The sequence below is a fragment of the Homo sapiens genome, chromosome 8, assembly GCF_000001405.40.
Source record: "Homo sapiens chromosome 8, GRCh38.p14 Primary Assembly".
Classification (NCBI taxonomy): domain Eukaryota; kingdom Metazoa; phylum Chordata; class Mammalia; order Primates; family Hominidae; genus Homo; species Homo sapiens.
Genome location: NC_000008.11, coordinates 128,422,989 through 128,439,334, shown reverse-complemented (window position 1 = coordinate 128,439,334; position 16,346 = coordinate 128,422,989). Strand labels below are relative to the sequence as shown.

At 39.8% G+C, this 16,346-nt stretch overlaps 1 long non-coding RNA gene across 1 annotated transcript in view; it reads left to right on the top strand.

Moving 5' to 3' along the window:
* The window catches only part of LINC00824 (long intergenic non-protein coding RNA 824), a 159,411-nt gene that overhangs the window by 125,345 nt on the left and 17,720 nt on the right, over nucleotides 1–16,346 (top strand). Inside the window, exons 3-4 of the long non-coding RNA NR_121672.1 lie at nucleotides 10,951–11,677; nucleotides 15,742–15,834. This is a non-coding gene — a long non-coding RNA (long intergenic non-protein coding RNA 824). The remainder of the gene's footprint in view (nucleotides 1–10,950; nucleotides 11,678–15,741; nucleotides 15,835–16,346) is intronic.

Below are 16,346 nucleotides of genomic sequence, written 5' to 3'. Positions count from 1 at the left end.
ATTACAACCAGCTATACATGGCATTCCAACTGTCCTCCGTAGTTTTTACTAATAATTTAATTCATTTTACATACTTTTAAATTTATTTTTATTTTTATTTTTTTAGAGATAGAATCTCCTACTGTCACACAGGCTGGAGTGCAGTGACATGATCCAAACTCACTGCAGGCTCAAACTCCTTGCCTCAAATGATCCTGCCAACTTAGCCACACAATTAGGTAGGGCTATAAGCATTTACCACTTTGTTTTTACCACTGTACGTGGCTATGTTTTTGTTTGTTTGTTTGTAGACACAGGGTCTCACTATGTTGCCCAGGCTGGTCTCAAACCGCTGGCCTCAAGAATCTTCCTGCCTCTGCCCACTAAAGGGCTGGAATTACAGGTGTGAGCCACCAAACCCAAACATTTTATATACTTTTGGCACATTTTATCATGATCACAATTAACAATAGTATTCTTTTTTCAGACATCATTTAATGAGTCTAATAATCAAACTCTTGAGAGATCAATAAGCAGTTATCTATATGTTAACTATATGTTAACAAAATTTTGGAAATTATAACCAGATTCTTTTTTTTTTTTTTGAGATGGAGTCTCACTCTGTTGCCCAGACTCAGGCCAGAATGCAATGGCATGGTCTCAGCTCATTGCAACTTCCACCTCCCGGCTTCAAGAAATTCTCCTGCCTCAGCATCCCAAGTAGCTGGGATTACAGGTGCCTGTCACCACGCCTGGTTAATTTTTGTATTTTTAGTAGAGATGGGGTTTCACCATGTTAGCAGGCTGGTCTTGAACTTCTGACCTCAAGCGAGGTCAGCCTCCTGCTTCAGCCTCCCAAAGTGCTGGGATTACAGGCCTAAGCCACCACATTCGGGCTACAGATTCTTAAAATAGTAAAGAATCTAGAAAGTGCATACAATTCTTAATGCTTTTATTGATTGTGTTAATTTAAAATATGTTTTTAATAATACACACTATGGAAATTCTATGTTTAATTTTAAAATACTAAATAAATCCTCAAAATTGTATATAATTTTGTCTAATAACCATTTACTTGCACCTATATTTGTCAAACTTTATGAATCAATAATCTTAAAGTTAATGTGTGAACTAGAGACTTGTTCTTTGCTTTGAGATTATCTGGAAAATACAGTAGTTTAAACTTAACCAACTACTCTTAGCGGTGAGATAGAGTGATAGATAGGTTGGTAGATAGATAGAGGGTGGATAAAGAAAGATGTGCATAAATGCCAATTATTAATTGCCTCTTATGGGTGAGATAATGTGTTACGTGTTTCACATATATGTAAGCTACTTTACTCTCGACCACCATGTTAAAAGATAATATTATTATTCACACACCATTAATTAGAATACTAGGCTCAGAAAGATTAATTAATTTATTAAAGATGCTAAACGAGTAGGCAGCTGAACCATGCTTGAAACCATAATAATCTGATTCCAGAGCTTTGAAACTTTCTGTGTCACATTGTTTTGCTGTCTATCAAGACCAAAATCAATTATTGTTGGTATCCATCTCCATTCCTTTACCCTGAACCCTGCTGTTCTTATCAAACAAGTGATAGAGCTACAGACCCACCCAGATCCTGAAACCTCCAATCTGGCTTCAACATTAATGTTTAACCAGCTGAACCAAACAGCCTCTGATGGTTGATGACTGCTATCTCAAATGACCGTGTAAGAGCTTCCATATTCAAATAAGAACTGTCCTTAGAGACAGATGACTACTGATCCACTCTAGTCATCAAAAAGGTAAATTAAAATGATAGTTGAATCCGCTTGACAGAGATTCTACTTTTTAGTAGTATCTTGGATTCTCTTACTTAGGGTTTAAAAAACCTAACAGAAGGGTTGGTTGAAAAAAATCATAACTCCACCATCCCTACCATCCCCACCACCACATAAACACACACACACACAGAGAGAGAGAGAGAGAGAGAAAGAGAGTTAATTCTATAATGTTTACACATATCTCTATATATGTATAAGCATATATATATATATGTAAAGTTATATAATGTTACATAAAAAAATGAAACCCAAATATTTACATGAGCTCAGATATATACCTGTATTTTGTATGCAGTAAGGACAAAACCTTTTGGGTTGTTTGTTTGGTAGCTTCACAATCTGTCATAAATTTAGCGCTGAAGAACGAGCTATTAAATGTGTAAATCAAGTCCAAATACATTATTAGCTCCCTCACTCCCTCCTCACTTGGCATTACAGAAATTTTCAGCCAGCATTTATTGAGGTAGATTCTCTTTTAATTCCTGCTCTAGATCCTCCTCCTGTTGTTGCCTGGTTCTGTCCTCTGCTTTCTCCATCCACACTAGTCTCAGCTCATATCTATATACAAATCTAGGACCACTTCCTTCTATGAGAGCTTACTACAAAGAGTTCTTAGGCAGCCCCTCTGCAGTCAGCCAGCACTCAGTCATTCAGCTCAAAGGTCATATACCTTGAACTCAACTGTCTTTGTTTTTATTATCCCAGCTCTTGCTATTTTTAATTACTAATAACATTGACTTGAACTCCTATAAATGCCCAGGGTGTTATTGTCCTCCCTCTTTGGTCCAACAAACTCTGCTAATACTTTTCTGTGTCATGTTTGCTGTTAAGTTTCTGAGACTGTCCATGAACACCATATGTGTAGTAAAAAGAGAACTGGACTTCGAGTTGCAAGTTTTGGTATAGATTCAAAACTCTCCCATTTATTAGTTGTAGAACCTTAATCAAATTACTTCACTTATCTATTTTCCAGTAACCTCCTCTTTAGCAAAGAATTGTTGGTGGATTAAGGAGGATAGGACCTGGGGAATGCCCCAAATTAGAACCTTACAAAAATAATACTCAGTAAATGTTATATTTTTTGCTTCAACCTACAAAATGAAGTCTTTCTCACTGCTGACAGAGATTTTGTCAATCTCCATGGCTTTAGGCAAAAAAGAAACAACACTATATTTAATATGATTTAGTCTATTCTTCTTGACTGAGTTCCCCTCCCTGTGGTCCTCACATGGGTGCCATAATCAAACATCACCTCAGCCACAGCAGTTGAAATTTAGAACTACTGGCTCCCTTGCTAGGGCTTCTTTTTTAACTGTTACTTGCTTCCAAGTTGCCTAAAATCACATAGAATACTTCAGTTTTGGGTTACAGTGAGAAACGTCTTCAGTTAATGACAACCACAATGAAAAGATCTTTTATATGACATTGAAATTGACAAGATTTGCTTCCTTCTGAGCTAACTAGAGTGAGACAAGGGATGCCTGTTAGGCATAACAAGACTGACGGGCTTCCTCTGTGTGGTAGCGATCTGAAAACATTCCTAAAGGATGGATGAAAACATTCCTAAAGGATGGATAGAAATGCAAGGCAGTGACGGGCAGGTGAGGAATGGAGCCAGCGTGCTCCATGAATAATGGATCACTCGGTCACAGCTGGCTAAGGGTGTCAGTTCCACTCTTGTGGTAAAATCGCTGATTGTAACCTTCTTTTTTTTTTTTCCCTCAAGAACTAAATTAACAGAGCAAAGAGAAATGCCAGCGGGTGTGAGATTTACCATTTGCCATTGAAATATCTTTCTGCTGAGGGCCTTGTCATTTTATTAGAGAAAAAAAAATTCAGAAGGTTGTTTTAGATATGCAATAGTACCCTGTTGGCATGAAATACTGGACATATAGGAGGCCCACTGGGGAAAAGGAGCATAGGCTTTGAACAGAAGAGCTGAGTTCGAATTCAAGTTTTGCCACATTCTTGCTGCATAGCGGTGGTGGGTTGTAAATTACCTTAGCCTCACCGAGCCTTAGTTTTTATGGTCAATAAAATGGAGATGATAATGGCTTTTTGAAGGGTCGTTATAAGGATTAAACGGAAACATTTTTATTTCCATGGGCATATTTGTCGTTTTAGAAGATGTTAGCCCCTTCCTTTTGACCTGTACTTACGTATTCAGGAGAACAAAGACAGATGGACCACATTCTGGCAAGTGTTTTCATGCCCCAAAGCTTGTATATTAAGCAGGTATTAAACTTAGACTCTCTCTGGCTCACTGCCTTCACCTGTAAACTGGGGAAACAATAGTAATCTCTCCTGTTCCTGCTTCAGAATAAATTTAAGGCTCAAATCATATAATGATTGTGAACACTCTGAAAAGAGGTAAAGAGCTTCCTGTACCCTTATTTTCTGTCTTCCTTTGGTCCCTTGGTAGTTACTGAGAAAGACCACACAGTTCCAAATCACCATGGCTCATATTCACGTTCCCCAATATCTTGGAATTTCTCAGCCCAAAAATAACCTGACATAAACCTTTAAAGGGGTATAAGTTCAAGTATAATTAATAATTCTGACTTCTATGATGCTGAGTTCTTAATCTGACCTTTCTAGGTTAGACTGGGCAGTAGATAAGAAAATATTCATCCAAAGACTCTCTAAATAATATTGCAGAGTATTTTAATGTCTGTTTCCTCAACATAGCTGTGGAAAAGACTTACTATCTCTATTTCACAGATGAATAAAGCAAGGTTCAGAAAGTTTTGTTGACTTTCCCAAAGTGACAAAGTTGTTAAATCATAGCTCTAAGATTTGATACTTATAAATTTGTGCATTTATTAAAAGTCCTAGATTTTTATCTTCAAATTACCCTGCTCTTATTCAACTAGGGAAAAGAAATGGTAAGAAAATCCAGGGGAAACTTTTTTGTAGCAAAACAAAGATGAGCGCTGCATGCTAGAAGAAGTTGACGGCAGAACTTGAAATGCAGACACAGCCAGGGAAGGCATGGAATTAGGCTCACCTCTGTGGAGGAAGGCATGTACCAGGATGTGTAATCAAGTAGAGGCAAAGCCCACCTCTTTTCTAGCCATGGTTTCATTGGTATGTGTTCTGCTTTTCATTTCCTCTATTTTTTTAAATAATTTCAACTTTTATTTTAGATTTAGGGGGTACATAGTGTGATGCTGAGGTTTGGGGTATGAATGATCCAATCACCTATGTAGTGAGCATAGTACCTAATAGTTAGTTTTTCAACCTGTGTCCCCCTCCCTCCCTCCTTCTTTTAGTAGTCTCCAGTATCTACTGTTGCCATCTTTATGTCCATGAATACCTAATGTTTAACTCCTACTTAGAAGTGAGAACATGCTCTCTGTTAGGCAGTTTTGTGTTGCTATAAAGGAATACCAGAGACTAAGTAATTTACAAAGAAAAGACATTTATTTTTGCTCATGGTTCTACTCACGGTTTTGCTCATGGGTCTGCTGTATAGGAAACATGGCACCAGCATCTGCTTCTGGTGGGGGCCTTAGGAAGCTCACAATCATGGTGGAAGGCAAAGGGGGACTAAGCATATCACATGGCGGGAGAAGGAGCAAGAGGTGGAAGGGGGTGTACCTCTTTTAAAACAACCACACTAGTGAGTACTTATTAATTACCATGGGGAGGGAAATATCTTATTTGTGAGGAATCCAGCTTTATGACCCAAACGCTTCCCACCATGGCACACCTCCAACACTGAGGATCAGATTTTTACATGAGACTTGAAGGGGACAAATATCCAAACTACATCATGTGGTACTTGGTTTTCTGTTCCTGGGTTAATCCACTTCAAATGATGGCTACCAGCTGCATCCATTTTGCTGTAAAGTATGATTGTATAATTTTTTCTCTTCACAGTATTCCATGGTGTATATATATATCACATTTACTTTATGCAGTCCACCACTGATGGGCACCAAAGTTGATTCCATGTCCTTGCTATTTTAAACAGTGCTGTGATCAACACACAGTGCATATGTTTTTTGTTTTATTTTGGTAGAACAATTTATTTTCTTTTGGATATATACCTAGTAATGGGATTGCTATGTCAAATGGCAGTTCTGTTTTAAGTTCTATAAGAAATCCCAAAACTGCTTTCCACAGTGGCTGAAGTAGTTTACATTCCCACCAACAATGTATAAGCATTTCCTTTTCTCTACAGCCTCATCAGCTTCTGTTGTTTTTGACTTTTTAATAATAGCCATCCTGACTACTGGGAGATAATATGTCATTGTGATTTGATTTTCATTTCTCTGATGATTAGTGATGTGGAACATATTTTCATTTGTTTGTTGCTCACTTGTATGTTTCTTTCGAGAGGTGTCTGTTCATGTCTTTTGCCCATTTTTAATGGGGTTATATGTTTTTTGCTTGTTGAATTTTTAAAGTTCCTTATAGATTCTGATATTAAACTTTTTTCTGATATGTAGGTTGAGAATATTTTTCCCATACTGTAAGTTGTCTGTTTACTATGTTGATAATTTATTTTACTGTGCAAAACTCTTCAGTTTAATTAGGCCACACTTGTCAATTTTTGTTTCTGTTGCAATTGTTTTTCAGAACTTAGCCATAAATTTTTTCCCAACACTAATGTCCAGAATAGTATTTCCTAGGTGTTTTTCTAGGATTGTTGTAGCTGGAGGTCTTACATTTAAATCTTTATTCTGTCTTGAGTTCATTTTTGTATATGGTGAAAAATAGGGGTTCGGTTTCATTCTTCTACATTTGGCTAGCCAGCTATTCCAGCACCATTTATTGAATAGGGAGTCCTTTCTCCATTGCTTATTTTTGTTGACTTTGCAAAGATCAGATGGATATAGGTGTATGCATTTATTTTTTGTTCTCTATTCTGTTCCATTGGTCTTTGTGTCTGTTTTTGTACCAGTACTATGCTGTTTTGCTTACTGTAGCCTTACAGCATAGTGTAAAGTTGGGTAAAATGATGCCTCTAGCTTTGTTCTTTTTGCTTAGTGCTCTCCCTAGGTCTTTGGCTCAAGAGTCACCAACATCAATTTCCATGCTGCCTTGGGCCCTTTCTAATGCATCTGGGGAGGTCAATGCTTTCAGTGCTCTTTGCAGACCCAGCCTCTTGCATTGGCTCACTCCAGAGCTACTGCTGCTCAGACAATGTTGTGCTCTTTCTTCTCTTGTAAGGAAATACTTTTTGCTCCCATGATTTTCTTTTCAAAGAAGGTCCCACAACAGGATTGCTCAGACCTTCAGAGTGATTTGAAACCATTTTCTTCCCATATGCAAGTACCTTTCCAACCTGGTTGTTTAAATATTATAGTCACTGCACTGAAACAGCACCAAGACTCCCACTCCCTCTAATGTTTGCATTGAGCTGCTAAATCCATTTTGCTAGTTTTGCCCCTTAAGCACTGAAGGATTTTTTTCTGAGTGATCAACAGTTTATCATTGAAATTTGGCTTCCATTGTATACCCAGTTACCAGGTCTTTATTTCTCTCTCTGACTGAAGCCCTGTATGTCCATAGATAGAATTATATTTCAGAATGCCCCTAACCCATACACAAATGTATTCTTAGGATAGTCACCTGAGGCCACTCACCAGACAGAACTGTAGCATTTCTTCATGTACAAACAACTGCAAATTAAAATGTTGCCTATTTCAAGGCAAGAAACAGTTTGAAATTATAACAATTTATAATTTAGCTCAAGGTTTACACCTCCTGTGTGTTTTCCCCCATAACAAAAATTCTTGCTAATCCTTTACTTACTAACTTCTAAAGTTATTTAAATTTAGCAAACATTTAACAAGTACTAATTTTGTGCTAATACTTGCATTAGGAACTTTTCTATATCTATTTTCCAGTGGAACTTTCAGAATAACTTCATGTAGCAGATATTATTATCAACAGGTACAGTTAGAGATGCTAATGTTCTAGAGGTTAAGAAGCTTGCCCAAAGTCTTTTAAAGAGTAAGACAACTCCTCACAACAAAGAATTACCTGACCCCAAATGTCAACAATGCTGATGTTGAGAAAATCTGCTTCCGTGATTCCAATTCAGTAAACTTCAAGAACTCTGTATTAGTTTCCATTTAATGAATGTATCTTAACATTTTTTAAATACAAATATTTGGTTTTTCATTTTTCTCTTTTTTAGTTATGAGGTCTTTTCAAGACATCATAAATTACCTGAGGACATCTGTTACTTCTGTTTGGTCATGTATTGGTGCAAAACAAATTATCTCCAATGCATTATAGCTTAAAATAATAACCATTTTATTATATATTCCAATATTTTGGAGCAGCAATGCAGGCAAGAGTCAACTGGGCAATTCTTCTCAGTGGGATGTTGACTACAATACTTCACCAGTGGTATTCAGTTGTTGGATGGACTGCTGTGGAGAGTCCAAGAGGTTTATTTACATGGCTGGTGACTTGGCTGAGGTGGCTGGAAGGCTGGAGTCAGCTGGGACTGTCAATGGGTTCGCTGACAATTGAATTCTCCAGCATGGTGCTCTTAGGAAGTCAGACTTCAGACATGCTAGCTTGAGATTCCCAAAGAAGGTGTTCCAAAAGGCAGAAAGAGGAAACTGCTAGTTTTATAAGCTAGCATGGCATCACTTCTGTCATATTGTTGTTGTTGTTCAGAGCAATTGCAGAGCCTGTCTGGGTTCAAGGACAGACAACAGAGACCCCACCTCTTAATGGGTGGAGTGCCAAAGAAATTATAGTCATTCTTAATGCACCATAGCTTCTTCCAGATTTTCTAAATATATACTCAGTACATGTAAGTGGGAAAGATATTATAATTATATTTTAATAGCTACACTTTTTAGTGCCTCCAGATGGCCAAGCTTACTCCAAGGCAGATTTTCTCAACATCAGCATTGTTGACATTTGGGGTCAGGTAATTCTTTGTTGTGAGGAGTTGTCCTGTGCATTTTAGGATATTCAGCAGCAACCCTGGCCTCTATCTGCTAGATGCCATAACATTTCCTAGTTGTGAAAATAAAAAATGCTAGTAATTGGCAAATGTCCTCTAGAGGACAAAATTGCCCCCAGTTGAGAACCTGCTCTATGTTAAGCGCTAAACACAGGGATACATTACAGTATCACCTATAACCCAGGTACCATAATTATTTCCATTTCATAGAATAGTAAACTGAGTCTCAGAAAGTTAAGTGGCTTCGTCATGGTTACTCAGAAGGAAAAACCCACCTCCATCAAAATGCAAAGCCTGGGCTCTTTCTACCATGCCCTTCACTTCTATTTTATACTTCAAACTATCCAGAATCCAGATGGATATTAGGGGATATAAATAAACAGTTCTCTAAAGTCAGAGGCAGAACTCCAGTCACACACATGCAGCACTACCACTGAGCCCCCAGCTGATTCAGCAAGGGGACCTGGCTGAATCCTAGAGCTGCTTTAGGCCATCTCTAGCACAAAAAGCATTGATCCACTCAAACTTAGCAAGCACTTGTGTTCCTTGTCCTGCTGTTTGCTTACGGAGGGAATTCAAGCCTAATTTGGATATGTGCCTGATGCTGGGCCATGTGCCAGTATTCGGCGAAGGGAGCACTGGCACACACACTTTCGCCTGCTGTGCAGTCTATTTCGGGACTCAGTCTCAGTTGCTGCTGCTGCAGGTGACCTGACAGATGTAGAGTGCCCTGCATTTGCCCTGGATTAAAAATGCCACCATTTCTGATGCAAACTTGTCCAACCATCTTTCCAGTCCTCTCACCCAGAGCATTCATTCACCCTCACAAGGGCACACTCATCATTATGGTTCCTGCCTCCCTCCTCCACTCCTATCTACCTGACTACCATTCCTACGTATACCATGCCCCTCTGGAATGTGCCATCTTTTTGAGGGAAGACAAATATGTGACTGGCAATTAGGAAATGAAAGGTCTAATAAAGCTGGGGATACAAGGAAAGGAGTAGTCAATACTACTTGGCTGTCTGGTTGGAGAAAACTTCACGGAGGTGGTAAACATCTAGCAGTTCTCCAAGAATAACCAGAGTGAAGAGGAGATTTCAGTCAGGAAAAAGAATCTTATGTAAAAGAACGAATATGCTCTAAGTGTCCCGGTGTCCTGTGGGTACCCAAATACACCAAGAAGACAAGAAGTGAAATTCAAAGAGTAAAGACCAGTGAGTGAGAATGGGGAGCTACATGATTCCTTGACTCTAGAGAGAATAGCAGGGCTTAAGGAAAGGAAGGAAATGCTGGATGTTTGCTTTATAAAGATTGCTCTATCACCTCTGAGATGTATGGTTTCGAGAGGGGCAAAGCTGTATGCAGGGGACTGGTGGAAACCAGTTAGAAGTTTGTTTAAATAATTTGTAGCTTAATCATTCAACAAATATTTATTGCACCCCCAAATGGCTGCCAGGTTCTCAGCTAGATAGCCCACATAGAGCAGTGAGTGAGCCTGACGTAGCCCCAACACAATTAGATCTCCTGTTCTTCACCTTATTGATAAAGCCTTCCCTGACCATCTAAGCACTTCTTCCATAATGTCCTGCTTCCCTCTGGCACTGAAATTATCACCCTGAATTTGGGCTGTGCCTTGGAACATCTGCCTCTTTCGTGGATTGACAGTGACAGGGACAGGGCATTACCTAGACCTTCTTTGTTACCCTATTCACTGGTGAAAAAGTAAAACAGCTTCCAGTCTAATGGAAGGATGTTTTAGAAAGGATGACAGATATAAAGCAAGAAGCAGAATGAATTGCATAATTTGGATGAAGGGTTTTAAGGAGGGAGAATGTAGTGGCCAATGAAAGCATTCAACACAAGAGCCCAGCACAGTCTGAGGTGTCAGTCAGGGGCCCGGGAGAGTTCCTTTTTTCTGTTAGATAATTTAGTCCCCCAACTATCTTGTGAGTTAAGCAATCATAGTCATCAATTTACAGATGCAGAAACAAAGGCTTAAGGCAGGGAGTCAAAACTCTTGCTTGAGGTAAAGTCTTCCAGCTCAAAAATGAATAGTAGCTGCAAGATGAGAAGGCAGGAAGGCAGATTACAAATGAGACTTTCTCACTCTGCCTAGTCATGGCAGTTGTTTGCCATTACCTGGAGGACTCAGGTTTCAGCCTAGAGTCTAAATCTTCTCTCTCCCTCTCTCTCTCCAGGTTGAACTGGTTTGTTGAACTTTATGGATGGAGCCAGCCAACAGGATGACATTGTGGCAGAGAAAGAAGCTTGCAGCTTCTTGCATCAGAAAATCAGATAGAGCCTCTCTGGCAAGAAGCTGCAGACACAAAAGAAGCTTGCATTGAAGGTGACTCAGCTCTGGCTTTTCAGCAATGCCCTAACATTGGCTATTTAAAAAGAGGCAAAGTAGCTTCAGTGAGACCTCAAACCAATTGCACAGCTAGCCACTGCCCATAAAGAAGCTACTGGTCAGAAATGCTGGCTCCTTCATAGACAAAACGGCAAAGTACATTGATAGGGGCTGCTGGTCCAGGAGGATCTTTATATCCTGGCCAAGTATGGCATTTGTCTCTGTCACCTGGAAAATGGCCCTGGAGCAGGCATGTGACTGACTCGTTCTGCAAGGCCTCCAGACAGCTAAATGAAGATGGCTTCTAGCTAAGAAACAGAGGGGTTCATACACATGCAAAGATAACTTCCCCACTTGTCTCTGATGGAAACTCAAGGGCCATGTGGAAATGGCGTGGATTTGGGACTCAGCTGATGAACTTGGAAGCCCAGCCCAGCCAGTCAGCAGTTTGGTCCAGAACCTGTCTGCACCTCAGTGTCTAGTAAATGGAGGAAGGGAGAAGGAGATGAAACTAATTGACATTGGGCCTCTTTTATGAACCAGGCACTTTGCTATTCTCATCCAGTCTTACCTTGGTATGTTCACCCCTCACAAGGTGTTTGTAAGACTTGATGAAATAACATAGGTTAAGTACTTAGCACCACAAACCTAGGAGCTATATATGATTGTAGCTATTGTAAGTATCATCCCATTATATAGATGAAAAATCTGAGGCTAGAAAGCCACATAGCAGGGACTCTAATCCAACTGGCTAGTTCCAAAGCCCCTATTCTCAACCACATAAAAATATTGCTTCCCCCTCTCTTCCTTCTTCCATAGAGGTTGGCTGAAATCCATTAAAAAAAAAATGAGTACAAGAGAAAAAAAAAGAATGTATTCAAATGATTCTTGAACAAATAATTTAATAATAATTAAAATCACTAAGCAAGTATTAATAACTTAAGATAATGTGTTAATAATTAAAAATCATTCCATAAATATTTGTCAAGAGCTATTTATGTGCTAGTTATCGTGCTGCTATGGGAGATAAAAAAGGAATTAGATATGGATTCTGCCTGTGCACACTTTATAGTCTAGTAAATATATATAGAAATCATTCTAGTAATAGTAGGAGTAACAAAGAATAATAATTCACTAATCTATATGGATGTGTACTGTATTCCAGATACAATCTTCAGCATCTTGTGTGCATTATCTCTTTAGCATTTATAATTCTCTGTGATAAGAATTATTACTCCAGTTTTACAAAAGAAAGACCGGAGCTCAGAGAGGTTATATAATTTTGCCAAAATTATACAACTTAGAAGTGGGACAGAACCAAAAAGCAAACCCAGGTCTGTCTGATTCAAATTCACCTAATAACCAGTGGGTAACACTTCCTCACTCTCCTTAGCCAGCCTCTCTACTTGCAATTCCAAAAACACATTAGTTTGCCTAAATGGCTTTCATAAAAAGCAAAATTTCACCAGTCAGTGCTAACAGGTAATGATACCAAATAAAATCCTGGAAAATCCTTTTTGACCTTCCAGTTTACTATTTTGGGACAGACCCAGTTTATTCTACCACCTCTGGTCCTCTGTGAAGAAAATGCAAATCCTGCAGCAACGACTTCCCATTCACACTGTGGTTCTCACAGAACTTTGCACTTGCAGGGCACTCAGGCCCACTCTGGGGCAGCAGACTCAATCCTGACTTGCTAAAAGCATATGCACCATCCTATCACTCTAAGCCGCCCTTAATCCAACAGTAATGACAGTTTGATTCTTCTTCAAAAGGCATATTTGAAAGTCATTAATGAAGCATAAAATAAAAATGGCAAGTCTTCTTTGTCCCTTTCTTCCACATTGCTCGAAGATACCCAAGCATGGGTTTAAAGTCACGTGAAGGATATAATTGGGGACAATATTGAGGGCAAGAAATTAATTATAGTTAAGTGGAGTCTTCTCCTTCAGAAGCACACCAAGGAGACGACTTTCAATAGAGGCGTCACTCTCTCACTGAGTGTCAGCAGCTGGAGGAATACACTTTTTCCCTAGATTCAAGGTATTAGGGGAGGTTGACACACTCTCCACTTTGCATCATCCAAATGCTGTGAGATCTGCCCGCAGCTGTCTGCGAATATCTCTCTCCCTCCTTCAGCTGCTGCACACTGCACACCACACAAAACACTCCCTTCATTATTCAACACATGGAAAAGCTGTAGCCCACATTCTCCATCAGCAAACCACTCAGTATTCAAAGCCCAGGTCAAAATTCATTGTACTGGTGAAGCCTTCCTTGGCCACCTAAGCACTTCTCCCTGTATTTGGGTTGTGCCTTGAAACACCTGTCTCCTTAGTGGCTTGACAGCAACAGGGACAAGGCTTTGCCTAGACCTTCTTCGGCACCGTATGCACATTGAAAAAGTAAGACAGCTTCCATTCTAATAGGGGAAATAGTCAATGAGCCAGAAAACAAACAAATAAACAAGTTAAATATTATGGATTGTGGTAACTCCTAGGAAGGAAAATAAATGAACGATATAGTATAGGACATAGGTCAAAGCCAACCAGCACAGACAGGTGGTCAGAAATCGCTCTTGGAGGAGGTAGAATTTAAGCAGGGACCTAAAGGAAAAGAAGGATCCAGGCCCACAGTGAATTGGGCCTAGAACATTCAGGTAGTAGGAATAGAAAGCACAAAAGTCCTGCTTTGGCAAGAACGTGATGTGTGCAAAGAATTAAGAGGAGGCTTGTATGATGGAAAATGGTAAGAAACAGGGAGTCTGGAAAGAGACAAGATAAGTACAGAATAGACACAAGGCCAGGCCAGGCAGGGCTTTGACAGCTGAGACAGGTAGAGTTTTGATGGTTGTAAGTGCAGTGAAAAGCCGTTGAAAGGTTTTTCTTGGGCAAGTGACCTTTGATTTTTGTATTTTAAAAGGACATTTTGACCTCTATATGGGAAGAAAACTGGATTAAAGGGTGAAAAGGAACAAGAAGAAGTAGGGGGACCATTAAGCGGCTGTTGTCCCGTTACCAGCCACAATGTCTGATATAGAAGAGGTGCTCAATAAAAGTGTTTGAAATAAATGAATGAAAGGGTTAGACCACCCTGGGCTTACAGAAAAATTGTAGCCAGCTAGTGCTCTCCCTGGCTGGTTCTGATGATGTCTCCCCCTCATCCTTAGCATCCCCAGCACTTGAAATATTCTGAAAAAACAATTTTAAAAAGTACATTCTGAAAACTTGTCACCCATTTCAGGCCCGGGTTTGCAAAAATTACCATCTTATCTTGGTGGCATTTTTATCATTTGACATCATTTCTTGCCACTGTTCGTCATTCCTGTGAACAAAGAACAGCCTCCTTTTTTCTGACAAAACAAGAAGAAGAGAAGGAGGAGGAGGAGGAGGAGAAAGATGGGGAGGAGGAGTGGAGGAGGAGGAGGAGGAGTAGAGGAGGAGAAAGCAAGTTCTGCTCCAGCCAGATGTAGAAGAGATGGTGAAGAGAAGTGGGAAAAAATTCTAATGGAGACTTTTATTCCCTTTCCAGGAAGCTGGCTGAGGGCCATACTTGCAGCTTTGACTTTAAATCTGTAAAACCTCAGCTTCCCCCAGGGAGCCAGGAGGGGCGGGTTCTTGGCACATGGAATTCCTGAGTAGCACAAGTATCTGCTTTTCCTCAGCAACCTCCTGCTTTATTAGTTAAGCCTCTCTGAAGCCCGAATGGGCACATTTCATGCCAATTTTAGGGTGAAAGCGATTTGGCAAGTTATATTCCCAGGGTGCTCTGGAAAAGAGACAAGGGGTTGCTGAACACAAGTCACACTAGACGCTTCCCTAAACCAACAGGAATCAGCTGCTCTTTGACAGTGGGGTCTGCTCACAAATGGACAATTCTCCAAGAGGAAGAGAGGATCAGGGAATTTAGAAGGTGCTGAGTATTCTGTATGGATATAATTCTAAGGGAGCATTTTCTCCAATATTCTGTAGTACCTGTAAGGACCATTAAAAGAACATAGAAGTAATTCTCCAATAGACATACTTTAAAAAATGAGAAAAAAATGAATTTTCAGTTTAGGAGGGAACTTGAGGATTGAGTAGTCCCATTTCTTATGAGGAAACTGACATGTGAGAATGCAGGGTTGTTTCCCAAATTTGCCAAGCTACTGAAGGACACAGCAGAAAGATGCCCCAGGATTCTGCTCTGTCAAGCCTTTCTGATGTTATACCCTATTGCTTATAACAAAGTATAAGGTAGTAATTAGTGACTATTACTATTTGAGTGGAAAAATACTTAGCTTAGCGTCATATAGGTCTGAGATAGGATCTTTGTGTGACACTCATTAGTTCTATAAACTTTTATCTGTGCCCTCACAGGAAATAAATTGAAATAATAGCTTCTACCTCACAGATGTAAATGAGATAATGACTATAAAGTCTGTGCACAGAAATTGTGTTCTTATGTATTTACCAAATACTTTACTTCCTCCCAGATATTGAGGACAACTATGTTTTCTAGCCCCTTTGCACCTTAGTGGGGCCATATAAGGGGTCTGGACAATGGAATGTAGGCATAGGTGAGGTGCCCCTCACCTCCCAGGAGTTTCATATGCATGTTCATATTTCTCTTCTCTTTCTACAACGATTGCATGTTGAAGACGGCAGGAATGCAAAATGGCAAGAGGCTCCATCCTTGAATCACCATTTGGAGAAGAGTTAACTGACAAACAAGATCTGCACTGAATTATATGGTGAGAAGAAAACATTTAGGGGATTGCTTATTATAGCAGCTACTCCTATGTACTCTGACTAATATGATAATGATCTAAATGACATGATTTTTCTTACTTCAGAATCCACACCTGCTACAGATTCTTTTTTTTTTTTTTTTTTTTTGAGGCAGAGTCTTGCTCTCTCTCTGTCACCAGGCTGGAGTGAAGTGGCACGATCTCGGCTCACTGCAACCTCTGCCTTTGGGGTTCAAGTGAGTCCCCTGCCTCAGCCTCCGAAGTAGCTGGGACTACAGGTGCCTGACACCATGCCCGGCTAAATTTTTTGTATTTTTTAGTAGAGACAAGGTTTCCCCATGTTGGCCAGGATGGTCTCAATCTCTTGACCTCATGATCCAGCTACCTTGGCCTCCCAAAGTGCCAGGATTACAGATGTGAGTCACTGTGCCCGGCCACCTGCTACAGATTCTTATAAATCAGACTTTCTTTCCACAGTTCTGAACATTGACAGCCAACATCAGCTCTAATGAGAG